Here is a 26,338-nt window from a genome sequence, read left to right as displayed (position 1 = left end):
CCCCAGGCAGCAATGAGGAGGAACAGACTGTGGTGGCTGAGCTGCCCCCGGCACTGAGCTGGAACAGGGCTCTGACACTGAAACTGCCCAGGACACTGAGCTGGAAGGGCGCTCAGATCCGGCGGATGTGGCGGCGCCCTGCCTGTTTGCATGGGCCCCTGCCTCTTCGCGTGGCGCCCTTCTCAGCCTGCACCACCCAGCCCTGCACAGATGCTTAGTATGGAAATGAAGCAGTCTTCCTTTCAGGGCCCATCATGTTTTCAATAAATATCGCTATTTGCAAGATGTGCTGTGGGCTCCACGGCTGCGTCTCCAGATCATTGAAATTGCTGTAATGAAGGCAAAGCTGGAGTGAACACATCCGACGGCCACAAGCCACCTCGTCCACGCAAATCATGACAGCATTTAAAGGCCCCTCCCTGCCAAAAGCTGCTTGCTAAATGTCACCATTTACACCTAGCTCAGCTCTTTCCTGGTTCTTCCATGTTCTGAATCCCAGTCATGTCATATACAGAGAATCTGAGGCTTAATTTGAAACCTTTTCCTCCACAGGACATTTTCTGGCAATTATCTGGGCTGTGGAAATGGGGCATGTTTTCTAAATGTAAAACAAGGTCACCAGGTCTGGCATATCTCAGAGCTCTGGTGGGGACCATGGCACAGAATATCGATATTCACAATAGACCTGGTAAACCCAGGATATATGTCCTCACAACAAAAGCCATACCAGTATTCTATTTACCTACAGGCAAGTTTTAGACTTAGATTTTCAAGCTCTGGGGAATTCTAAGAAATAAGCCTTAAACAGATCCACCGAAGTATTGTTTCTGAGCCAGTGCTGTTCTCCATTGTCATTTACAGAACTCTGAATGTATACAGAATAGGAGATGGGGGATGATTCACTATTCTGGAAGTTGTGCTGATTTTTCTAAGAAAACTCCTAGACTTCCTCTGTAGTCAAGGTGAAGTCTAGATGACAGATTTGCTATGTTGAGGCAGATTTTTGCAAAAGGAAGGAAGAGGCCCTGGCTCTTAAATGGCCATACTATTGACCCTGTAATAGAGCAATGCCAAGAATTCTAGGTGTGGCTTGACCAGCCAGCTCACATGGCCTGAGGGCTCCTGCTCTACCCAGTGAGTTTCTGAAGCAAGTTCTAAAATGCAGCTGAGCACTAGGCACTTGCCTTGGCATAAGAAGAATTTGGACTCTCCAACGCTGATCTCCCCCTGGCTGGGAACAATATCCACCTGCAGAGAAACTGAAAAAACAAAACAAAACAAAACAAAACAAAAAACAAAAAAAAACCCACAAAGTTCAGTTCAAACGTACATTCCAATGTTCAAGAATGAAACCCAGATCTTCCATTCAAAAATAGGCTTCCCAACTGACTTTAAGAAAGAGTGAAGGGAGGAGGTTGTGTGGAGTTTGAGAACTTGTGCCACCAACAGCCAGGGCCATGTGCAGCCAGAGAGAGACACGGCCCAGACCATTCTCCTATGGAATAGCTATTTCCCCTCAGAGAGTGCAAGGTGCCCTGGGAGATTCTGGGTGATCTCTGCACTAAATGTTTCCAACCCCTTGAGAAGACTTATGATCCTGCTCCAAAACAGCAACATCCTGGGATTCACAGAAATGGTGACCCAACCAGTTCCTTCTGGATGTCATCTGAAGTGTCTCCACAGCTGTGTCAAGTGCAGTAAGGCTGCACTCCAGAATCAAGCTCAGGGGTCTCCTGCCAGTTCCCCAGGCTGTCCGGACACAATCACTAGGAGGGCTCACACTGATTTTGAAGTGGGGATGGTAAGGGTAAACCCTCACCTTCCCTCACGACTACAGGACCAACACACCTTTTTCCATAACAGGAGCCAACATCACATATCACCACCCCAATTAGTCAGACACCCTTTGGAAATTCTGTAGCCCGTGCCCTGTGGAATTCCCTGGGTCCCTTGGCTACTTTCCCTGAATATTTATTTGAACATCCATATGCTCTGTCATTCCACTGCACCGATAAGACAAAATACACTGCGCCAGATCTCACAGATCCCTGTGTTCATCTGCTCCTCGTTTATCTGCTGGGAGCAGACAACCATTCCTCATGAAAATAGAGTTTCGAGGTGGAAAAATGCTTTATTCCTTTGAATTCAACTTCTTTCTGCCTTTCCTTCTCTTAAGTAAACCCCAAATCTAAAGGCAAACAGGTATTTGGTTCAGTGCATGGGGCTTCTTCTGGCCAACAGGAGGGACAGGCTTGAACAAAACAGCCTGGGGAATGGAGATTCAGTGAGCCCTTCCTTCCAACAGCCATTTTCTTTTCACAGTAGAATGGAGGTGATGCTCGTTGCCATGGTGACCGGCTCGCAGGCAGAGCTGCTGCAGGTCTTGGTCTATGCTTATTTGATGGAGAGACTACAGTTGTCCTCAGCCGACTGCAGGGATTAGAGGGCCTGCTTGGGGCTGGGAAGGGGGTGCGGCCTTCCTAACCATGCCAGCAACAGACAAGGCAGGTCACGGAGAAAGCCAGCAGAGGCTTCAGAGAGAAAGAGGTGATGTGGTGGAGACAGGGATGGAAAAGGGAAGGAGGAGGGCATAAGGGGAGAAATGGGGCCCTGGGCAGAGGCAGGGGGAAGATGCTGACGCTGTCATCTGTGAAAATCAGAGGGGAAAACCCAGACTTCCAAAAACTGGTTTGGAAGAAATAGAGTAATCTAGGGCAGCTAGTTTCTCCCCTGCTCAGACCACCACTGCCGGCTCCCTGAGGCTCAGGACTGAATTCTTGCCTGAGAGCAATAAAAAGTCTTCCCCTGCCTCTCCTGAATGTGGTCGCAGCACACAGAGCTGTGCTGGAATACTATGCCGCGGGGTCACTGCCCGCAGTGCAAGTGTGATTATCTGTGGGTGCTTTCTCCTGTCATTCTCCTCAGGATGGAGTTCAGGTGCCACTTGATTCTACACTGTGAGAGCCCAAAGGGGTCTCAGACATCACCACATCCTGCCTCCTCATTTTCCAGATGAGGAAAAGGTGGAGTGACTTTCCTATGGTCACTTCTAGTTAGGGCTAGCGTGGCCCCAGAGCCCAGGCCTCCTGGCTCCGGGTAGGTGATCTTTCCATGATGCAATGCTGCCCCTGCACAGAGGGCAAAACGTTTCCATTCACTAGAACACACCATCTGGGAACCCCAAGTAACAACCCTTGGATTCACTATCCCTTAACAGAACACAGAGAGCCCATGAATTGATAAGGGCCCATCGTATCTTGGGGAGCATGGAGCCTTACAAAGAGAGCTGCAGGCCAGTGCTATCCATGCTAAGGCCAGCCAGGACCTTCCCTGTCACTTCCCGTGGCTCTCATTCTCTGGGAACTACAGGCTTATGAAGCCCAGAAGCTGTGTCTATGCCACGGTCACCTAAGTCCTGATCTTTTCTGGAGTTCACTGGAGCATTCCTTAAAGAATGAGAAGCTGAGTCCCCCCAAGAAAGTTTGCTGGACCATATGCTGAGTATTAGCAGCCAGCTTCAACATATGGATCCTGTTACCCTCGTTCAGCCCTTACTGCTTTGAGAAGGATATTCTTATCCCAAGTGAAAAAACAGCCTTCATTTGTTCAGCTCTTTTCAAACAGAACACAACTCTCAAGGGGCAGGAGAACACGGCAAGGCTGAGGAGTTTTCATATCCAAATGCGGCCAGGATCTATCTCTGGGCCATGGAGAGAAAAGGGAAACAAGGCTTTCAAAGGAATTCCCTGCTTAACAGGATCCCACGCACACATTTATCATCACAGAAGTTTTTTTTTTTTTTTTTTTTAAGGGTGTTTCTTTTACTTTATTTGCAAAATATTCTTTTTTTTATTATTATACTTTAAGTTTTAGGGTACATGTGCACAATGTGCAGGTTAGTTACATATGTATAAATGTGCCATGCTGGTGTGCTACACCCATTAACTCGTCATTTAGCATTAGGTATATCTCCTAATGCTATCCCTCCCCCGTCCCCCCACCCCACAACAGTCCCCAGAGCGTGATGTTCCCCTTCCCATCACAGAAGTTTTTAAAGGAAGAGTTATCCATTTAGACGCCTGGCCTTTTGCACAGATGGAAAAGCTAGTGATTCCTCCCTCAAAACACCAGAGACAAAGCTGGCCCAGAGGAACCCCAGGTTCTCTGGAAATCAATGCTTGGATGTTTTCCACTGCAGCACAATGGCTGATTATTCTTCCCCAAACACGAAGCACTGAAATACTAGGTTTAATGATAGTAAGTGGAAATCCTGCTTTGATCTCAAAACTCCTTCCCTCCATTGCTTGCTGCCTGGTCCTTTCCTACTCTGTTACTATTTTCATTGTTCCCAATACAAATTCCTACCTCAACTTTCACCTTTTTTTCAGTTGCATATGTAAGTGGAATTTCGTCACTGGGCATAACTCCCACCTTAAAAGGCACTTATGTAAACATTTCTCACAGACGAAGTATCCCATCTCTTGCTTTCCATAAACACTCCTTGCGTAAATACTGCATCATCTTAGCTGGATTCAAAGACACGTGCTTATGAACCTAGGTATTGGGCTGGGCAGGACCCAGGGGCAGGGACAAGAGGCGCTTCCAACAGTGCTTCCCACGCCTCCAAGAAGCACTCATCCCCCAAGCCCTCTTTTGTGGACAGTTCACACTTTCCAGTTTACAAAACACACTTCATTATTTCATCAAACAGTTCTGAGTGATAAAAAGGCCAATATTATTGTCTCCACTGTATGAACGTGGAAATTGGGGCTCAGAGAAATAAAATAACTTGCTCAGGGTCCCTTAGTTAATGAGCACTAAAACCAAGATTAAAAATCATCTACTTCTAAGGCTTGAACTCTTCCCCTAAACCCCTCAACTACTATAACCTTCTGTCCATCTCCAAATAGGTTTATTATAACCTATTAGTTACCATTTACACTCTTTCCAAATCATAGGCTAGAAAGAGCACAGTCTTTGTACAAAGATCTAACATCAGCCGGGCGCAGTGGCTCACGCCTGTAATCCTAGCACTTTGGGAGGCTGAAGCAGGCGGATCACAAGGTCAGGAGACCCGTCTCTACTAAAAGTACAAAAAATTAGCTGGATGTGGTGGCACACACCTGTAGTCCCAGCTACTCGGGAGACTGAGGCAGGAGAATTGCTTGAACCCGGGAGGTGGAGGTTGCAGTGAGCCGAGATCATGCCACTGCACTCCAGCCTGGGCGACAGAGCAAGACTCCATCTCAAAAAAAAAAAAAAAATTCTAATATCAAGTTGCTGCCATCATTTCTCTCCTGGTTAACTATAACTGGCCTCTTTGCTCATAGATAATCACAGCATTATAGCCTCTATTTTACATATGGGTAAGGGACGCTCAGAGCCATAAGTGATGATAATGATAGGGTCAAGATTCAAGACTGGGTTGCAGTTCCAAGTCCAGCCATTTCTCCCACACTATTCTATCCCTTGTTCACAGACAGAAAAAAAGTTCTGTCTTTTGAGAACCAAACAATCTCCCTCTCCCCACCTCAGTTGAGTAAAATAGCCCCATGGGAGACTGATAGATTTTGAAATGTGTTTTCTGTTTAAATGTCTTTTTTTTTAAACTGATGATATGTTCTGAAAGGAATGCCAACTCTTTTAGCAAATGGCTTCAGGTGTAGATAGATGTTTTGTAACTCCCAACTCCCTAGCAGAAGTAGGCTATAAAGTCTTAGCTGCTGAAGAAAAGTGAATTAAAATTTCAGTTCCTAAAAGATGCTCAGGTGCTTATCAGAAGAGGTGGGCAAAGCAACAGAGAATAATTTGTTCTGATTTCAAAAAAGAGTTCACATGAATCAGCAACTTCTTGCAGTAGTTTTATTTTATCGGTTTTCTTTTCAGATTCCAATGGGCTTGAGGAGGGAGGAGCTGACAGCAGACAGGGAACCAAAGTCTCTCCCGTGGCTAATTGAAAATACTTCCTTGTCAAGATGTTATAAAGTCACTGGAGGCTGAGGAAGACATTACAGATGTTCAGGGCCCAAGGCCAATGTAGACACACCCAAGCAAGATGCTCTGATCACCAATTTAAAGGACGGGTGAAACAAACAGGATAAATATCATCAGTGACTATGATGAGATAAGGGAGTTTTCTATAATCTATTTAATAATGACCATGGACTTTTGAAAAAGGCATTAAATTACAGCTATATGTTTGTCTTGTTGGCTATCATTCTAGAAATGAGCCTTAAGTATTGCTAAACATAACCACTGTAATGGAGAATTGTTTTTGTATTTTTCAAAGTATAACTGAATGCTAAGGTCTCTTTCATTTGGCTATACCTGTGGGAAATCCAGATACTGAGACCAGGAGCATAAGAATGGAAGCAGTGCCACTTGCCTGGGATGGTGAGATAGTTTGGCTCTGTGTCCCCACCCAAATCTCATCACGAATTGTAATTCCCATAATCCCCACATGTCAAGCACGGGACCTGGTGGGAGGTGACTGGGTCATGGGGGCAGTTTCCCCCATGCTGTTCTCATGATAGTGAGTGAGTTCTCAGAGATCTGGTGGTTTTATAAGGGGCTCCTCCTGCTTTGCTCATTCACCCTTCTCTTTCCTGCTGCCACGTGAAGAAGGTCTGTGCTGCTTTCCCTTCCACCATGATTGTAAGTTTCCCAAGGCTTCCCCAGCCATGCAGAACTGTGAGTCAATTAAACCTCTTCCCTTTATAAATTACCCAGTCTCAGGCATTTCTTTACAGCATTATAATAACAGACTAATACAGATGGCTTGCTCTCATTATCAGCAAACTACTGGAGGGAAAATAAAGGGTCTCTTCACCACCAAACCTACAAAATCAGTGAAAGTGAATAGGAAACGAATGTGGTCACATTGCAGGGTGGTTAAGACCAAGGACACCAGCCCAGACTACCTGAGTTTGAATCTCAGCTCTGCCACCTATTAGCTTTGTAATCTTGGCCAAGTTATTTAACCTCTCAGTGTCTCATCTGTAAAACAGGGAAAAACAGAACCATCCTCATGGGGCTTTGAAAAGATGAAATGAACCAACATATGTAAAGCAGATAATAAGCATTTAATACCTGTTGTGCATTATTATTCTTAATTAACCTCTAGTAACAACGCTTCCCAAAGAAATTATTTCGGTTACTATTTCTGAGGGGAGCAATGTCTTCCCTTTATGGTTTAAGATAAAGCAACTTTCCCGAATAATCTAGTTTGTGGTCAGGTGGCCCAGTTCTACTCTCTACATTAAAATAAGGCATTTGAATTGCTGGTCAGAACATCTCAGATATAAAAGACTGAATTTAACCACAGCCAAAAACATCATAACATGGGGGGCTCCAGACAAGTAATTTCACCTTGGTCTCAGTTTTCTTGTCTGTAAAAACCGAACAAATGCGATTGGATTGTCACAAGAATTAAATAGGGAGGAGACAGTTGTGATTAAGAACTCAGGATCTGGAGTCAGGGAGATCTGAGTTCAAATTCCAGCTCTGACAGTTAGTAAACTAAGTGAGTTCTCAGATGAATCTCAGAGTCTGTATTCCTCATCTGTAAGTGAATATATTGATCCTACTCATCTCAAAGGGATATCGAAATTGTTTAGAAAGGTAATGTACATAAAGTACCAAACACAAGGTCATGCTGTGTGTTTTTAAATGACAGTACATATGACAGTACTTTGAACTTACACACACACACACACACACACACACACCCTGCAAACAAACAAAATTCCCAATGACACATGTAATGAGAATGAGATAACAGGGGCCTCTTATATACTATTGAATTCAGCCTGTCTAAAAATCTACTAAGGGGTGGCCAGGCGCGGTGGCTCACACCTGTAGTTCCAGCACTTTGGGAGGCAGAGGCAGGTGGATCACAAGGTCAGGAGATCGAGACCATCCTGGCTAACACAGTGAAACCCCGTCTCTACTAAAAAAAATACAAACAAATTAGCTGGGTGTGGTGGTGGGCGCCTGTGGTCCCAGCTACTCAGGAGGCTGAGGCAGGAGAATGGCGTGAACCCAGGAGGCAGAGCTTGCAGTGAGCCGAGATCGCGCCACTGCACTCCAGTCTGGGCGACAAAGCGAGACTCTGTCTCAAAAAAAAAAAAAAAAAAAAAAAAATCTACTAAGGGGTGTGTTTGTGTGTGTGTGTGTGTGTGTGGTGTGTATTTACATTTTTGTGTATGTGTGGATACATCCATTGAGAGCCCATAAAAATATGTGTGTGTATTAATAGAATAATGGAACTTGTCAGGTTGATATTGTTGCAAGAAATAGCTGGACATAAGTAAATGTATCTCGTTTTGGCAGAGAAGAACCAATACATTATTAGGGATGACAGAGCAGTCTTGTCTATACTTGACATGTGAGTCCTACAGTTCCAGCTTAAGCTACTGTTGATAGTAACTGGGTGGAAGAAGAAAATAAGGTAGACTGTTTAACTTTCAAATATTAATCCAAAAGCTAGATGCCATTTTAAAGAGACTATAAAATATGTGTTTGTACAGATTTTGGCTTCTGTTTCAGTATAATGGCTTCATAATGGCAGGCCATACATTAATTGCCACTGGAAGTATCCTCATGGCTTAAAGCTGGCTCACAACAGCAACTGAAATCACCTAGAAGTCATACTTAGTACTGCCAGTCCTTCCATCAGCGTAGTTGGGGTCCTCTTACATAAATCCCAAGAATTCTATCTCATTCCTATTTAAACCTAAACATCTAGAAGTGATCTGCTAGGTTTCCAAATCAACTAAGTTTATAACGAAGCCCTTGGGAAATGCTGTCTAAAGTCGCCACAGGCCCCTGGGCTCCTGGGTTTCCCCTGAGGCGTAAAGCAGCCTAGAGAATGAAGGAAACCCCTCTTGAAAGCTGCAGTCTTTTCTGGCTAGGAACATTAGTGCATAGCAGAGGCGTGAAAGCAGAATTTGAGACAAAAGGCGGAGGGAAAGATGACTCTTGGTAGGTTCATTTTTTTATGCCACAGGATAAAGAAAACGGAGCTTCCTGGTATAAAGACAAGCCATACAGACAACTTTCAGATAACATATAGACATCTCTAAACCAAATGCACTTGAAGGAGACCCTTGGGCTCTTTACACTCATAGAGCAAGCAGGTTTCCAAAATCTATCATTTTTCATAAAGCTACCTGGACTGGGTATTGAGTCATACACAAAAACCATGCAGCAAGCAGTCCTGGTAAGAATTCTCCTTAACCCCTGCCCCCAAATCCTATGACTCTTCCAAACAGAGTGAAGGGGGAAAGGATGGAGAAGGTGAATATGGCTTTAGAATTCTTCAGCATTCTGTCTAATATGACATCATAATTGATTGTCTAATATTACAGTCAGGAAGAAAAGATATTGAATATCCCTTCACAACCGAGCCCTGGATGATTATCCGATATTTTATTACCATAAATACTCTATCCTACGCAACTCTAGTAACCAAACAACAGAAACCAACTAGCCAGAAGCAGGAGGCTCTATTTCTTAGCATAATAAATTATATGAGCTGCTGGGAATCCGGCATAATTGGGGACTGGCTCTGTTCCATGGGGGCTGGCTTCAAATCAGAACACAGAGCCAAGCCAGATAACAGCTTCAGTTCTCTTGGCCTCCTGAGTTCCCTGGGTCAAATTAGCATTTCATTAGGTCCGATTTAGTTTTATAGAAAGAAGTGAGTGGTTTCAAACCATGGTTGCTGCCCCTACAAACCACCTAGCTGCTAGAAAACGTGACTAATTTCATGTCACAGCATCCTGTGCTTCTGGTTATAGGGCAAGAAAGTCTACACATTGGTTGATCTCCTCAGAAGTAATAGAATTATGTGGTTCCCAGGCTCTCACTCCCACCACCAATTCCCAGTCCCCAAAAGGCACCCAGTTCTCTTTTCTCATTTCTTTTCCTTTCCCTTTCTCTTTCTCTCTTTCTCTGTTTCTCTCTTTCTTTTTTTCTTTTTCTTCCTTTCTTTTTTTGACACAGAATTTTGCTCTTCTTGCCCAGGCTGGATCTCGCTTCACTGCAACCTCTGCCTCCCAGGTTCAAGCGATTCTCCCACCTCATCCTCCCAAGTAGCTGAGATTACAGGCCCACATCACCAATTAGCATGCCCTGCTAATTTCTGTATTATTTGTAGAGATGGGGTTTCACCATGTTCACCAGGCTGGTCTCGAACTCCTGACCTCAGATGATCCAACCGCCTCGGCCTCTCGAAGTGCTGGGCTCTCCAGGCTGGCATAAGCCACTGTGCCTGGAGCCCGCTGGAGCATCTTAATGGGCAGTCAGAAGAAATGACTCAAAGGGAGCATAAGCAAGAGCAGGAGACAGACATGTCCTAGACCAAAGCCGTGGATCAAGCACATAGCCAGGAGAGACTCCCGCCTAACTTGATGATACACGCCTGCTTGTTTGTTTTCTAGTTTTAACAGAGTCTCATAGAAGACGAGAATGCTTTCCAGATGTTATTGCTTCCTACCAAAGCAGCAAAAAAAATCAGAAGTATCTCCATAGAGCTCCAAAAGGGCCAGATTCCAGGCCAGGAGTGAAATCCTTTTCAAGTGGACATCAGCCCAGTCTTATATAGAACACAACAGGTGAAGGCAGGAATGTCCTGCAGCCTCATGCACTGAGGAGCAGATAGCCAAGGGTGTGGGGGGTCTGCCAAGAAGGGGTGAAACTGGCCTAATGATAAGCACAACTTTTCCATCTTCTACTATGTTGGAGTCATGGCCAGGATTGCAGAGCCATTTACTAACAAAGGAGGTTAGAGCTGGAAAGGACCTGACGCTTATCTCCAACCCGTTCATTTTATAGGTAGGAAAACACCAGGAACAGAAATCTGGGATGCCTGCAGCAAAGTCTGAAAGCCACAGGGTTGGCCGTTGTCCTGACACTTGACCCAGGGCTTTCTATTGCTTCTGTGTCTCATTTTCTTTTTGTGTCCTCAGTAGTTATTTCTTCAACTGTTTCCTCTTTGCCTGCTCTGTCCCGGTCTCACCTGCATCCCAATAGAGCCATTCTCTCATTAAAGGGAGAGAATAGCTCTATTAAGCACAGCTAAATAAGCTGGACAAATGGTGTGTGCTCTGCTAGTCCTGTGGCAAGCTGATTAATCCATCCAGTGCCTCCCACCAACCCCAGGGGCACTTTTTAACAGAAGCTCAGGTTTCTTGCTCCCTTTTCAGGCCACCTTTCCTGTTCTTTCCCTTGTCTAAGCAGACCCTTATTGCGGGCCAGCACTTTGCATGAAACTGAATTACTAAAATGTAGAGCAAGGATGCAAATTGATGTTTGGAACTCAGCTAAGCTTCTCCAGATAAACAAAGCACAATCCATCAATCTGCCCTGATAAGATAGGCCTTCTTAGTAAATGGCTGTACACTATCTGATTGCTTCCAGGAGGCTCCAGACGATGTTTTCTTTGGTCTGCTCTCCTGAAACCTTGACAAAATGACTCGTCGATGTTCTTTTCTTCCAGCTATAAAAAGGTACTGATACAAGGCGAAGCATTTCCCTCTCTCTCAACTGCTTTTGCCAACATGGCAAGAAGTTGGAATTATATCTTTCAATATTTGTCCAGCTGTTGTTTGCAGATGTTTTATTCTTTACATTCAGAAAATAGAAATTCAGAGAATGCTAGCATGCAACTTCATCCTGAGAATTTTAGATCCTGCCCGTGCCTTTCAATAATGTCCTTATGTGTTCATTGCTTTAAGCACATCTGGGCTATTGAAGATACAAAGGCTTACAATGTCTCCAACAACCAGTGCAAAGAATTGTTAAATTTGGTTTATATCAAGTGGAAAATTCCACATTCATATACATATATATATATATATATACACACACACACACACACATATACACACATACATGTGTGTATATCTATGTATGTACATGTGTATCTATCTATCTCTATCTATCTTCTGTGCCACTGTACCAAGCACTTCACTTAATCCACACAACAATCCTATAAGATAGGTATTGCTATTATCCTATTTGACAAACAAACAAACTGAGGAATGGAGAGGTTAAATAACCAGCCCAAGGCCACAAGGCTGGTAAGCAGTAAAGCCAAGATGTGAACCCAGGGAGATCCAGCTCCACAGCCCTTGCTCTTAAGTATATATTTCTATAAAGTCAATCTCAAAATTAACTCTGATGAAAAAGAAGTTGATTTTCTACTGGGTGAACTGGCAGGCAGGCATGTAAGAAAAGAAAAACACTGTCTCCTAGGAGCTATATGATTCAGGCCCAGGGATATACTAAGTTTAAACAGGGAATGGAAACAGGTTGCTGGAATTCCTGAGCCCACCTGGCTACACTCTTCTCCCTGCCGTAGACTTTCCTTCCTCTCTGAACCGAATTCCCTCCAACCCTGCTCCTCACCACCAGTGGGTCCAGCCTCAATGTCCACCTGCAGCCCTTCCCTTCTGTCTCTATAGCTCAGTTCTCAGCATTGGTGGTGGATGCCAACAGGGATGGGGTCGGGGGCTGCTAGTTGGATTTTCATTTTCCCATCTATGGATTACTACTGATCCCCCAATTTGGGTTCTGGATAAGCCATACCTTTCCTTATTAAAACGTTGATAATAAAATTATCCTTTGATGATCCATAAATTGTGACTGGTTCTGCCCCCACTCCCTGCAGAGTGTGCATTTGAAACAGATTATTCATATAGCCACTCAACTTGTGCTGTCTCCAAGCAGCCATTCTCCTTAAGGGGTCATCTGTAGAGTGTCCATGTTAAAGGGATTCCTGTTGGAGGTCACACTCTTCTACTGGATGGAGAGTCCATTCCCCACCCCCACAACCACTGTCACACCAGATCAGATGGTGCCTGACCTGCTAGATAATACATAAACTAAGTTATACAAAATTTTGAAGGAGGTAGAGCAGAAGAAAATCCAGCCATTTGAATAATAACTTGCCAAACAGAATACCCTGGGACATCGTTGTTTCGCTTTCTTGAGTTAGGGAACAAATGAGAAGCTGTCCCTGGAACCCACAGCTTTTCACCACTCATCAGGGTAGGAAATGCCACGTCATCATGACCATGGCTTATCAGGAACTCAGAACCCAGAGTAGCCCAACCTAGGGCTGGGTGTGGAGAGGGGAGAGGAGAAGGGGCAGCAGCAGATGGTGGCCGTGGGGCGGTGCTGGCACATCCAAAATACATTCTTCTTCTGTGAGTCTGCAGTATTACATCTGGCAACATTATGATGCATCCATCCACAGAATTACCCATAGCATTACTTTCTCCTTCTCAGTTAGTTAACAGTCCTCAGGCTATGTGGATGGCCTCCTCCTGTCTTCACACGCTGTAATTTCAGAGATCCAGAAAAGTCCCAAAATCCTTCCCCAACCCCCAGGCTGGTTACTGACATTCTGTCTTCATTCTTCGTACTTCTACCTTGTGATTTATGTGTCTAAGAACAGCAAGGGCCTCTGGCTGCTCTCAAGGTTGCTATCCATTTTTTCTGACTTATAATAAATCAAAGATTTAGGTGGAGTCAGTTGGGAGGGCTGGGGAAATGGTTCACTGGTAGGAGTAGTGAGGTTGGGGGAACACGACCAAACACACAAACTTGGTCACTGGGACCTCCCCCATGTGCTAATTATGCTCCTGTCTTCCTGCCCAGAATAATGCTACATCCAAAAAGAACTGCTAATAAGTCATACAAATTGAATATGGAATGAGATCCTTTTATCCAGCATAGTTTTTTTTTTTTTCCTTGTTTGTTTGGGTTTTGTTTTTATGGTAGCATTTTTATTTTTTATTTAAGCAATCAGTACTAAGTTCTTTCACGATTTTCTTAAGACTTTCCTCCTCCCTCAATCCAAACCCAACTGTCCTTGACAAACTCGCTTTGCTTCATCCAACAGGCAAGAGAGCCTTTGAATCCCAGTCTGTGAAATCAAAGACAGAAACATTAAAGACAGCCCCTCACCCCCAAGGCACAATGTCATAATGTGCTTTGATGTTCAAGGACTAAAATCAGAATGGAGTCCCAAGGAACCAATTCAAAGGTCAGGGACAAGTAACGAGGCTCACCCATGAGAAACAAACACAAACCAAGTTAATCAGATGGCAGCTAAGTCTCCTTCTAGGAAGAATTTCACAAAGGCTATGCTTCTTTTCTTTTCTTTTTTTTTTTTTTTTTTGAGACAGAATCTCGCTCTGTCACCCAGGCCAGACTGCAGTGGCATGATCTCGGCTCACTGCAACCTCTGCCTCCTGGGTTCAAGTGATTCTCTGGCCTCAGCCTCCTAAGTAGCTGGGACTACAAGCACACGCCACCATGCCTGGCTAATTTTTGCATTTTTAGTACAGACGGGGTTTCACCATATTGGCCAGGCTGGTCTCAAATTCCTGACCTTGTGATCTGCCTGCCTCAGTCTCCCAAAGTGCTGGGATTACAGGTGTGAGCCACCGTGCCCGGCCGAGGCTATGCTTCTTAACTTCCCTACCAAGGTGACAAATTCTAGTTATTTATAACTTTAAAACCAAGTAACTAAGCTTCCTTATTCCTGGATCACTGGTATTGCTGTCTAAATGAAAGGGAAAAGCCTACGGAGAGGACAAACTCTTTTCAGGGGAGGTCTGCAGAAAACTTCCTTCCATCTTCAGGAGAACAAATGCCTTTTCTGGAGGTGGAAGTTTACAGTGACCACGGTGACTCTGCCTGGCATCCCAGCACCAACTCTAAATAAGAGATGTGAGTGGGACAATGGGAAGAAACCACATACATACACACAGGGAGACACACACACACACACTCACACTCACACACACACACACCACCTTCCTCACCCTGTCTCCCTGGACAGTGAATTCCCCCTGGGAATGTTAGTGACCAAAAGTCACTGGTTTGTGTCAAGTCACAGTGACCAGGCAAAACTGGGTTCCTTAAAAAGAACCCAGGTCACCAGTCACTGAAATTTTCTTCTTTAAAAATAGAATCAACCTCAACAGTAGCTAAATATGGGGTGCAATAACTAGTTTCTATTCCAAATTGGACTGACAGCTCTAAAACTGAGAAGCCCTCAGACTAGTATCAATCTGAACAGATTTAAATAAGGAGTTCATGCAGGATGTTTTGAAATATAATGCTGAGAGATTCAAGTTTCAGTTCTCTTCTATTCCTATAAGAAACTTCCCCAAACAAACTCCATGCTGAATGGCTCTAATGCTTCAGACAGCCAAGGCTGTAATTTCTGCTGCTGTAGAAACAGTAACACATCTGTCTGCTCTTAGATAGATGTGGAGTCCTGGGGGTGACTGAGGAGCCCCTTTGAGGTTCTCAGGGTCTCATCATAGAGGATGAGGTGTGGCTTTCAGGCTTTCATCCACAGACGATGGTGATAAAATGGGCTGCTGGTTTCACAAGGGCTGGGATCTCCCCGACATGCCCGTCTTTTGTCTAACAGCATCCCTACCTTCATTCCCCTTTGGCTCTCTCTCTCCTCACACCCTCAAATTCCCAGGGTGAGCTTTCTGAATATGTTACAGGACTGGCAAACAGACAGAAGTCCTCCACACCCAACAGCAGCAACAGTAGCAACAAACTTTGGTCAAAAAGAAAAGGCACTGATCTATATGAATACATACTCCTGCTCATGCAATGTACCTTATTTTATAACAAGGCAAGCTGCCTTTATTTCTATAAAGTCATAGCTGTCAGCAACACTATTTGGCCTTTAAAGATGCCAGTATCTTATAGAAAGCTATTAAATGGTAATAACCTGACAACCAAGTCTGCTAAAGGGCCAGAGTTGCCAGAATAAATGGCCCGAGAAAAAAGAGCACACAATTCCAGTGGCGGTCCTCAAACTCCCTCTGGTACAACGAATCTGTTGCTGAGTTTCTTTCTGCTCTCTGGAGGTATAAGTGACTACTGTCTACTCCTCTTTTCCAGTGTGGGGTCTACACATAGCTTCACATTTCATGGAGCGTTCCTCACTGAGTCCATTTAAGCAAGTTTGACACATTTGGAATAGCTTATGCAGATCTTAATGCCAAAACACACACACACACACACACACACACAGAAACACACACACACACACACAGATCCTCAGTGTACACAATATCAGACTCAAAACTCACTGGACTGTGAGTTATTTGCCTGTTTTCTAGCTGAGGAGAGGTGATGATAAACTCAAATTTTTCTCCAAAACTTCTAGGTAAGTTATAAGGCTAAAAAATCAAACAAACAAAAATAACCACCACATCAAAGACTGCTTACCCTCTGTGTCCTGTACCTTCCCTGAACCCTTGGGGAAAGGCCATCAAATGCCCAAAATGAATTCAATTCTAGGGTTGGCTCTTGTCTTGGACCAAGATCCTTTTGTAATGTCACGAGGAAGACTGACCCAGAGACCAAAGCCTGAAGTCAAGAAGGTCGGGTCTAGTTTCCTCACAGAGCAAAAATCTGCTGCAGTCAAACACGAATTTGGCTTATTTTTGCATCTTAGCAAAAAGCCTTGCTATTCAGCTCAGATATGAGGCTTCTCCTTACCTGGGGAACTCCCTTAGATACCAGTTGCAAGAGGCAAACCTGCAAAGGTGAGAATTAGTCAAGAAAGGGAGCTAAGAACTTCAGTTGAGAAGGAAAGTACCATTATGGCAACAAAAAGAGATGGAACTAACTGGAGGACACATTAGTGAGTGTCACTCATGTCCCCTAAGGAGCCTGAGCAAGAAGCCACCCTCTATGCTAATTCTGTTGCTTCTCACAGCCTTCCAGAAACACCAGCTGGGACACTGGCTTCGCACCTCTGCTGTGTGTGAATATCCTGTTGCATGCTCTGAACTCAGAGGCTATTGCTAGGACACTCCATGAGACCCTGATCAGCTGCCAGAGGGCTGGGACACACTAGACTGAACAGAATAGAGGGCGACCCTTTGTAAGCTTCAAAATGTGACACTTCTGGATTCTTTCTCCCATGAAACACCAACCCAGGCCCCCAGAGTGCCGATGCGGGGCCATCTCCTGATCTTAACTGTCAAAATCTGACCAAGTGTTCTCCAAGAATGTGGAATGAAGGTAAAGAGGTAGAAAGGTCAATTCTTCCTTTGTGATCCTATAGCAATTAGCTTGTGCCTTAATCAAACCTCTTACTGTGTTATAATGTAATGCATTATCATCTGTCTAAATCAGCAGTCCCCAAGTTTTTGGCACCAGGGACAAGTTTCATGGAAGACAATTTTTCCATGGACCGGCAGAGGGTTGGGAGGTGGTTTTGGGCTGAAACTGTTTCAGCTGTGATCATCAGGCATTAGATTTTCATAAGCAGCATACAACCTAGAACCCTCGCACGCACTTCTATGAGAATCTAATGCTGCTGCTGAACTGACAGGAGGCAGAGCTCAGGCAGTAATGCTCACTGGCCCACTGCTCACCTCCTGCCGTGCAGCCCGGTTTCTAACAGGCCATGGCCTGGTACCAATCTGCAGCCCAGGGCTGGGGACCCCTGGCCTAAATGACTGAACTTTGTAAGGACTGTTTGCATTCCCAATACCCAGCATAGTGCCTGGCCATGCCTTAAAAGATAGTTGCTGAAATAACCTGAAAATCATATTATGACCGTTGTTTTCTGAGATTCACACCAGTCTAATGGTCCCCAAATGCAGCGGGGGCAGGCTCTGGACCAGGGGCAGGTTATCTGGTTAAGAATCACCTCCAGAACTTGTTAAAAATAGATTTCCTTGCTACAGCCTGAAAATCTTGAATCAGTACCTCCGGGGTAGGGCCACTGTGGTTCTAGTTTTAAAGAGCTCCTCAAGTGATTTTTACATACAGCCAGGTGAGGGGGGTCACTGGCTTAGTCAATAACCTACCTGGGATAACTGACGAATTGCAAATACTATTAAACTCAGTTAAACTCTTCAAGCCCCTTCCTGGAATTGCTTATTTTTACAATCATTCTAATGTTGTTCTGCCTACTTGGCCATGTATTACGTTAAGCAGTGTGACATAGCGCTGCAGAAACTCCCATTTCATGCATTTGTTTTCACGTTTGTCCCTGTAACACTTTAGGAAGTACAATGCTACACTAAAACTGATTGTGATGGTTAATTTTATGCATCAATTTTCCTGAGCCATAAGGTGCCCAGATATTTGGTCAAACATTGTTCTGATTGTGTCTGTGAGGGTGTTTCTGAATGAGATTAACATTGAAATTGGGTAGACTGAGTAAAGCAGACTGACTTTCCCAATGTGGGTGTGCCTCATCCAGTCAGTTGAAGGTCTCAATAAAATAAAAGACTGATTAATAAATAGTTCTTTCTTTCGGCTTGACTATCTTTGAGCTGGGACATTGGTTTTCTTCTGCCTTCAGACTTGGACTCGGACTGGATCTTACACCATCTGCTCTCTTGGTTCTTGGACTCAGATTGAAACTAGACTATAAGCTCTCTTGGGTCTTCAGCTTTCTAACTGCACATCTTGGATATCTCAGCCTCCATAACTGTGTAAGCCAATTCCTTATAATAAATCTCTCTCTCTCTCTCTCTCTCTCTCTCTCTCTCTATATATATATAAATATAAATGCACACACATACACATATATATAATGTATATATACACACACACTTATATGCATGTGTGTGTATGTATCTCCTATTGGTTCTCTTTCTCTGGAGAACCCAGACTAGTACATCAATATACATGAAAACATCATATTTTTCTAAAAGTAGATATGACTTGCAATCAAAATGGATATAATATAAAAGACAGGACGTTACGACTGGACACCACTGCCCTTAGCACACAGTTTGACATCCTTGGTCCACCTAGCCCAGGATGACAACTCACACACCACAAGTGGAAGGTCTCCATAAGTGTCAGCTGATCAGTTGGGCAATCTTTCTATTGATTTGCTAAGCAGGTCGGCCTGACATATTCCCTGTGTGAGTCATGTCCAAAGCTCCCACAGACGAATGTGCTAGTCACTAGGAGGATATAGTGTGAGAAGCATTCTAGAGGCTCAGAGCGGATTCTTGTTAAGCATAAGAAAAAGAAAGGTGTGGGTATGTATGAGGCATCAGACACTGCCTTCCTAAAATGAGACTTTGGGGTTCTGAAATAAAAAGTCTTTAGAAATTCTGAGTTAGCTATAAATCATAAAACAAGATGAATTACTGCTATTGTATCTTCAAAATGGTAGTTAAAAGGATAGCTGGCACTAAATGGCAGACTTTGAGCATAGAAAGCTTTCTGTTCCATGGTATAAGGAACTACCTGCCTCTTATCTTTATTCTGTTATATTGATGAATTTTAAACCTCTACAGGTGCATTAACTAGGACTCTCAATCCCCTGCTGAACCCAACAAGAGAAAAATTTCAATTGTTTCCCTCAGTTCCTAGCTGAATTCATCTTGCCTTCAAAGCTATGGAGTCCCAAGGACAGATGCTCTTTTTATATGTAAAAGATTATTATTTATTCCTGGTATCTCTATGCTTGTTGATTGATTTTTTCCCCTCCTCTCTACAACATTTGCTTCACTTTAAAGAAAAAGCCATTCAGTGATTTGTTAGCTCTTCCTTGAATTTGGGAATTCATAGCCACTGCACAAGTGCAGATGCCCTTTCCATTGGAATGATAGATCTTTCTGAGCATTCAGCATGGACCTCTACAGCTTACATACTCCCTAGACATTGCCTACATGTAGAAAATATAGAAGAAAATATATAAGGACATTTTCCTATACAATCTTTTTGTTTCCCTATTTTAAACGATCAAGAGAAAGTCAAATGACACAGAAGTGTCATACCCCAGCTCACTCTCCTGAGGACACTGACCCACAAGATTCAAAGCAGCCTCCTGGTCCCAAGGTTGAGGAGGTCATTTGCTTTCCAAGTGGTTGGTATTATGAACACGAATAAGTCCCTGGACATGCGAGTTCTAGCTGGTTAAATAATTTGCTGCTGAAAGTTTCTTGGTCTTCAAATTAGAAATTGATAACAATATTTTCGAGATGCCTCAAGCAGTTAATTGGAGAAAAAGAGGGGATAAAAAAAATCACACCAAGAAGCCAGACTATAATTTACCTAGAGTGAGGTCAGGTCATTTCTGTAATTTCAAAGTGCCTTGTAGTTGGTTTTATACCCAGCAGGTTCTAATAAATGCTCTCCACTACCTGACAGCAAACCCTCTTTCATTTGCGTGTATTTCCTAAGGTGAATATTGTTTCTTAAATTACTGGGTAAAAAATGCATTTTGAAATTGTTTTCAATGGCAATGCCTGGTCAATCTGGAGGAGCGGGACAGACAGATCCCACAGAAAGAGGCCTGCTGTGCACACGTGGCAGGGCATCCGGATTCTGGTTTCTAACGTCCTCCTGGGTTCTGTGGCACTGGTGCCCCAGCTGTAGAATTAGTATAAAAGAGGCAGAGGGTGGCAAAGTGGGAAAAGCAGTTGAAAAGGAACCAGAAAACCAGGGGTTTTGTTCTGGTCTTGCCCCTACAAACACCCACAGGATTTGAGGCAAGTTACTGTATCTTGCCAGGAAGGTCTCAGCTCGCTCATTTAGAAAGGAAGGGGTTGGACTAACTGATTTTGAACACTCATTTCACCTCTATAGTCAAACAACTGGGGCCCAACTGACAATTTGTCAAGGAGTTTCCCAATTTTCTCATTTTTCTTCCAGGGCTGGCTCACCCCAGTCCTGCCAAGTGGGGCTCCAATCTGCGGCCCAGGCCCACCCAGTTCTGAGCCAATCTTCACTGATGGTGGCAGCACATCAGAGGTCCCAAGCCACCTGGGCAAAGCGAGGGCTGCCGCTGTAAGCCTGAGGTCCTGGAATATCTGGGAGGTGCTGACCTCTTGCAGCCCCGCTCCCCAGTCGGGGGCTCTGCTCGCTCGACTCTCCACTGCTGGCTGAAGTTCTAGTCCAAACCAGACAGTCCACCCAGAACACAGCACCGCCCCTAACTCTGGGGGGATTCTGCTGCCACTCTGAGCTCCTGCTGCTGCTGCTCTGGAGGAACCAGCTACTCCCAGCTTTTCTTCTTTGGTGAAACAGAGATGGCAGCACTGTCTGCATCATAGAGTGGCAATGAAGAGCAAGCAAAATGACACATGGAGTGCCTAGTACGTGGGAGGCACTCTGCAAAGGGGAATAATTATAACCATAATACAAGGCATAAAAAGGCACGTTCTAGACAGCTGTTAATTACGTCACATTCAGGGCCCAGAAGAGAAGCATCAGGGCCAGGATGACAGAGGACAGTGAAGGAAGGAACAGATCCACGCTCCACACCTCCTGCTTGACCGGCAGGAAGAACTCTACAAGCTGGCCCTGGTGTGCTTTTGTAATGCATTACCAGTCGTCCCTGGACATATTGCCATCTGGTAGGAGAGTGAGCTTGGAGAAATAGAGAACGAGACAGACTATTCTTCTATCAAGGCTTTTACTTCTCTTGGGGTACAGTCAAAAAGCTTGATGTTTCTTCAAGTGTTAAGCAATCCCTATGGACTGATGGGAAGAGATATGAATACCTCTGAGGACAGTAAGTTGTGTTTTACCAAATAACATCATTCCAACCAGGGCTATAATAAAACCAAGGAGCTAGAGAAAAAAATCACTGTATTGATTTGTGTTTTTCTTCTTTCCTTTGGGTATATGCAGCAGTAAGCTACTTAGACATGTGTATTCCGAATGTACCCCTAGGGCTAATTTCAAAAAATACTTTTTGAAGCTAAAGTGGCTAAGTGGTCTCATTCAATTTTTAAACTCTGGAGGCTTGTATGTCAAAAATAGCGTGGGGTTCCTTAATCTAATCCTGAGTGGCTATCTGTCAATCAAAGAGATGGGACCAGGACCCCTGGTTGCTTCTGAGGTCCAGTCCTCTTTCGGAAGAGGGGAGAGAAGATCATCTGGATTACAACCACATAGTAACCACCCCCTCTTTTTTTTCTTAAATATTTATTTTAAGTTCCAGGGTACACGTGCAGGACGTGCAGGTTTGTTGCATAGGTAAACATGCGCCATGGTGGTTTGCTGCACAGATCAATCCATTACTTAGGTATTAAGCCCAGCATCCATTAGCTATTCTTCCTGATGCTCTCCGTCCCCCAGTCCTCCACTCCGACAGGCCCCAGTGTGTGTTGTTCCGCATCCCATGTGTCCACGTGTTCTCACTGTTCAGCTCCCACTTATAAGTAGAACAAGCGGTGTTTGGTAAACCCCTTTCTTAAGAAAAGTCTGGCCATCATTTGTTAGCCTACTGACACTCAAAGCAGGTATTTAGACCTCAGAACCTGCACCTGTCAAGGCCAAACAGCCGGCATCCTACCAAACAAAGCTCAGGAGGCCAAGCTGACTTGGGCAGCTTGAGAGTGGGCAGCTTGGAACCACAGGGCTGGCAGGGCCCGAGAGGCTGCCCAGGGCTCTCCCACACCACAGCTGCAGACCAGATCTCAGAGCCCTCTTAAAATCAGTAGCAAATTACTCTAAGTGGATTCTCCCAGCCTAGGCTGTAGGAACTCATCTTTACAGTTTAGTGAAACTGAGAACATGATAAAGAAGCCCCAGCAGTAGAGTCAGCATTGCTATTTCAGATCAGGGATATTTTTATTCTTGCTTGATACTGTACCAAAAACTGCAATATGAATGAGGTCCTCATCCCAGACGCAAGACTCCCATCAACACCGAAGCGTTTAACTGTGGGCCACATGCTTTACAAACATCATCTCTGGGACGCAGCATGGTCTCTGCATACTCATTGACTGAGTGGTTGAACCTCACATCCACCCACCCATTATACAGACGAAGAGCTGGAGGCTTAGAGAGGTTAAGTAAATTGCTCAATATTACACAGCTAGCAGCTGGGGAGCTGGATTTATTCTGCTCCAAAGTCCATTTCCTTTCTCTTGTACTATGCCATCCCCAATAACGCAGTGAGGCCTCAGAGGAGATATTTCTTCTACTTTTTCTACTCTAAGTACAAGTCCTTGCTGTTTTTGCTTCAGAGTAGAGTGGAAGAAAAACTTAGTGCTACAGGAAGACGGCCTCCTGCACATCACACAGAGATTCGGGGTTTCCCTTATGTGGGCTCTGCCCAGGGATAGGGGCTCCTACATCAGGCTTTATGAAGGATCATTCCAGAGAATGCCTTATAATTCTTTTAGTATCAAGTGTCATGCTAAGAAAAACTTCACATTATAGTTTTTACCTCTAAAAGTTTGTTTTTATCCTGCAGCTAATGCTTCCCAAGAAGGAATCTTGGAGATACCTATAAGCCCAATCAAATGTACTTTCTCCTGCCTTTCAATACCCCTGTAGCGCTAAACTCACTCTTTATTTGGGTAGTCCATATCCAATAAGCAGGATAATACTATAAGCCTCTTCCAGACAGGGGCTATATCTCACTGTTCTCTGCAACCTCTGAGTGCTCAGTCATACCTGTGCCCAGCAGCTGTTCAATGCCTATGAGATGAAGTGAGAAGCCAGGAGAATGCTCAGCACAGAGCCTGCCAGTCAGTCGTCCACAAATCACAGGAGTGAGAAAAGAAGGAGCAGCAGCTGCAGCAGTGGTGGCAGATGTTGCTGCTGTTCCTGGGTTGCCCAGGAATCTGGGGTCTTGTTCTGTGTGCCCATCTTAGGAAAGTCATATAACCTCAGGGTCCCCAGTTTCTACATTAACAAAATCATAGAGATTGAGTGTGAATATTCTTTGACTCTAGAATATTAATGAGTTGAATCCTTCCCCATCCACTGTCTCTTATTAACCAAGATGCCTCTTAAAGATACTGTCACAAAAGCCAAGTGTCTCCATATTTTAAGACATGCATCCTAAAAGCAAAAGAAATCTTGGTATTTCATGCTAAGGAGGTTTCAGACATCCTCTTATCTCTAGCAATTTCCATGTGTTTGCTGGAAATGCTTTCCAAAATCTTTTGGTGATTGTCTATACTTTATCCTGCCTTCGGGGGATGAGAGAGAAGAAATGACCCAAGCGTTGATAGAAAAGGCACACAAAGACAGTCTGGCAGTGTTCACTTATTAAGCAGAGCAGACAGAGCAAGAGATGGCTTAATCACATACCTGCCTCTCCCTCACCACTGTGCTGCCACACAATAGGCCTCTGGAAGCAGCCAGCTTGTCAGCATAATTCCCTGCACAGTGGGTGAGCTGAGGCAAAGATAATTTTCCAGGCTGTTTGGCTATCAACAGACACCAAATTGCTTAGCTGAGCAGACATGATTTCCTTCAACTTGTTGCAAAATTCTTAAACAAACCCTGAAAATGGAAATGTGCTCTTATTTTGCTCCATAGCAAAAGGAGAGCAAATTCTTTACTTAGGAATCAACAAGTTGGGGGTACACACATAATCATACACTCTCACAGAAAACAAGGCTAGGCTTCAAAATTGTTAAAATGTATAATTAAAAAGTATATGACAGTTTCTTCATCTCTCTCTCCTGCCCAGTGGCATGCTGGTGAATATTTATCAAAAGGCTTTTGGTGGTGGGGGAGTCCTGATTTGTAGCATTCACCCATATCTGTGGTGTAAATCCTCCCACCGTGAAATTTCAAGCTACCAACATGGTATTACCAAATGCAGAGCTGGGAAGAGATGCGTATGGTTGATTCTCACAAACCAGTGGAGCAGCTCTGGCATAATACTGTCCTGCCTGACATTCAAGTCCTAGTCCTGGGCTCTGAAATAAAAGTGGGTCACCAAGAGCCTGCTTCTTCCAGCCTGGTGTTAGCAGCAGGTGAGTGAGCTGATGCAAATGAGACTAAAGCACCCGGACTCTTCGAATGTTGGCCTTCGAATGCTGTAATCTGCCATGTGTCATCACTCCCTGAACTCTAGTCCCAGGTTCTTCACTCTTCAGAAACCCAGCAAACATTTTCTGTCCTGACATCAACCAGGGAGCTTATGTGCCATTTACTCAGGGAGAAATTCATCTTCTTTCTTTTTGCAATGAGCTTTTCCTCCTAACCCCAGCAAGCAGGCTTGCTTTGGTTACCCTCCATCTGCCAGAAACCAGGCTGTTTGTCAGAAACTTGCAAAAAAGCAGAGCATTCAACAGTTTGCTAATTGGCCTCCCGGATGAAGGAGCTTCATCAGAGTCCACGGATATGAGGCGAGACCAGCCTGGATGCACTGTCACACTTCCAGACGGTTGGCATGTGCCACCACGTTTCATCAATCTGCTAATGAAATACACATCGGAACTCCAAATCATCTCTCAGGGCAGAAAGGTAGACCTTGTGCAGGGAGATGAGCCCCTGCAGCCTTTTTTAAGTCAACACATTAATGCATCAGGGATGTGGTGTAACGTGAGAGTGTCCCCATCCTTAGTTATTTTACTCTTCTCCGATGTCTTTCTCTCCCATTTGGCCCCCATTTTTCTGTCTCCCTGCCTCTCTTCTGCTCTCAGGTTCACTTTTTGTCTCTCCTTCTTCATTTTTCTCTTCTAAAATGGAAGCACCCGGAGAATGGGGCAAAGAAGAAAGTAGGAAATTTGTAATGTTGGGACCGTATTTGCATTTATTTCATCTGTATGGTCTATCTCATGTTCGTTTCTTGGATGTTAAATCCCACACAGTCTTTAAGGAAGTTTTTTTTAGAGCTTGACTATCCATTTATTTAGTTACTTTTCTAAAATAGCATTCCTCCCACCCACTCTCCTCTAGTGAATCCCTCTTTCACTGCTGCTGTAGGCATTCCTTTTGAGGGAGTGAAGGGAGAGGCCATGGGAAAATGTGACGGTAACAAGCAAGAGCGACAAAGAGGAAAGAGAGAAAGCAGAAACGGAGTGCTGGGAGAGACAGTCCCACCTCAGCGGCTCCAGGCTCTATTGAAATCTGACCCTGCCCATGACAGGGGCTACAAACTGTAGGAAAGACATGATGCTCTCTGCCAGGTGCGGTGCCTCATGCCTGTAATCCCAGCACTTTGGGAGGCTGAGCCAGGGGGGATCACCTGAGGTCGGGAGTTTGAGACCAGCCTGACCAACATGATGAAACCCCATCTCTACTAAAAATACAAAATTAGCTGGGTGTGGTGGTACACGCCTGTAGTCCCAGCTACTCAGGAGGCTGAGGCAGGAGAATCACTTGAACCCGGGAGGCAGAGGTTGCAGTGAGCTGAGGTCGTGCCACTGCACTCCAGCCTGATGACAGAGCGAGACTCCAGCAACAACAACAACAACAACAACAAGACATAATACGTAATGCTGTCTTTCCTAGGTAACTTTTAATAGTGGTTTTTTTTGGCGAAAACAAATCCCATCTTATTTTCTGGTGGAATTTCAGCCCACATAAGGTAGGATGGCAGCAGCAGCATCCTAGC

At 44.5% G+C, this 26,338-nt stretch overlaps 1 protein-coding gene across 31 annotated transcripts in view; it reads right to left on the bottom strand.

Moving 5' to 3' along the window:
- Window positions 1–26,338, bottom strand: part of NCAM1 (neural cell adhesion molecule 1) — a 317,017-nt gene that overhangs the window by 74,799 nt on the left and 215,880 nt on the right. For 26 of the 31 annotated variants that reach the window (NM_001242607.2, NM_001400616.1, NM_001400621.1 and 23 more), the window contains exon 2: window positions 1,185–1,259. The exons of the other annotated variants lie outside the window; for them this stretch is intronic. In NM_001242607.2, the coding sequence (NP_001229536.1) occupies window positions 1,185–1,259 (75 nt within the window). The remainder of the gene's footprint in view (window positions 1–1,184; window positions 1,260–26,338) is intronic. 31 annotated transcript variants of the gene reach the window in all.

This window comes from Homo sapiens, chromosome 11 (assembly GCF_000001405.40).
Source record: "Homo sapiens chromosome 11, GRCh38.p14 Primary Assembly".
Taxonomy (NCBI): Eukaryota; Metazoa; Chordata; class Mammalia; order Primates; family Hominidae; genus Homo; species Homo sapiens.
The sequence above is the reverse complement of the archived record's forward strand: the minus strand, read 5'-3'. Positions and strand labels throughout refer to the sequence as shown.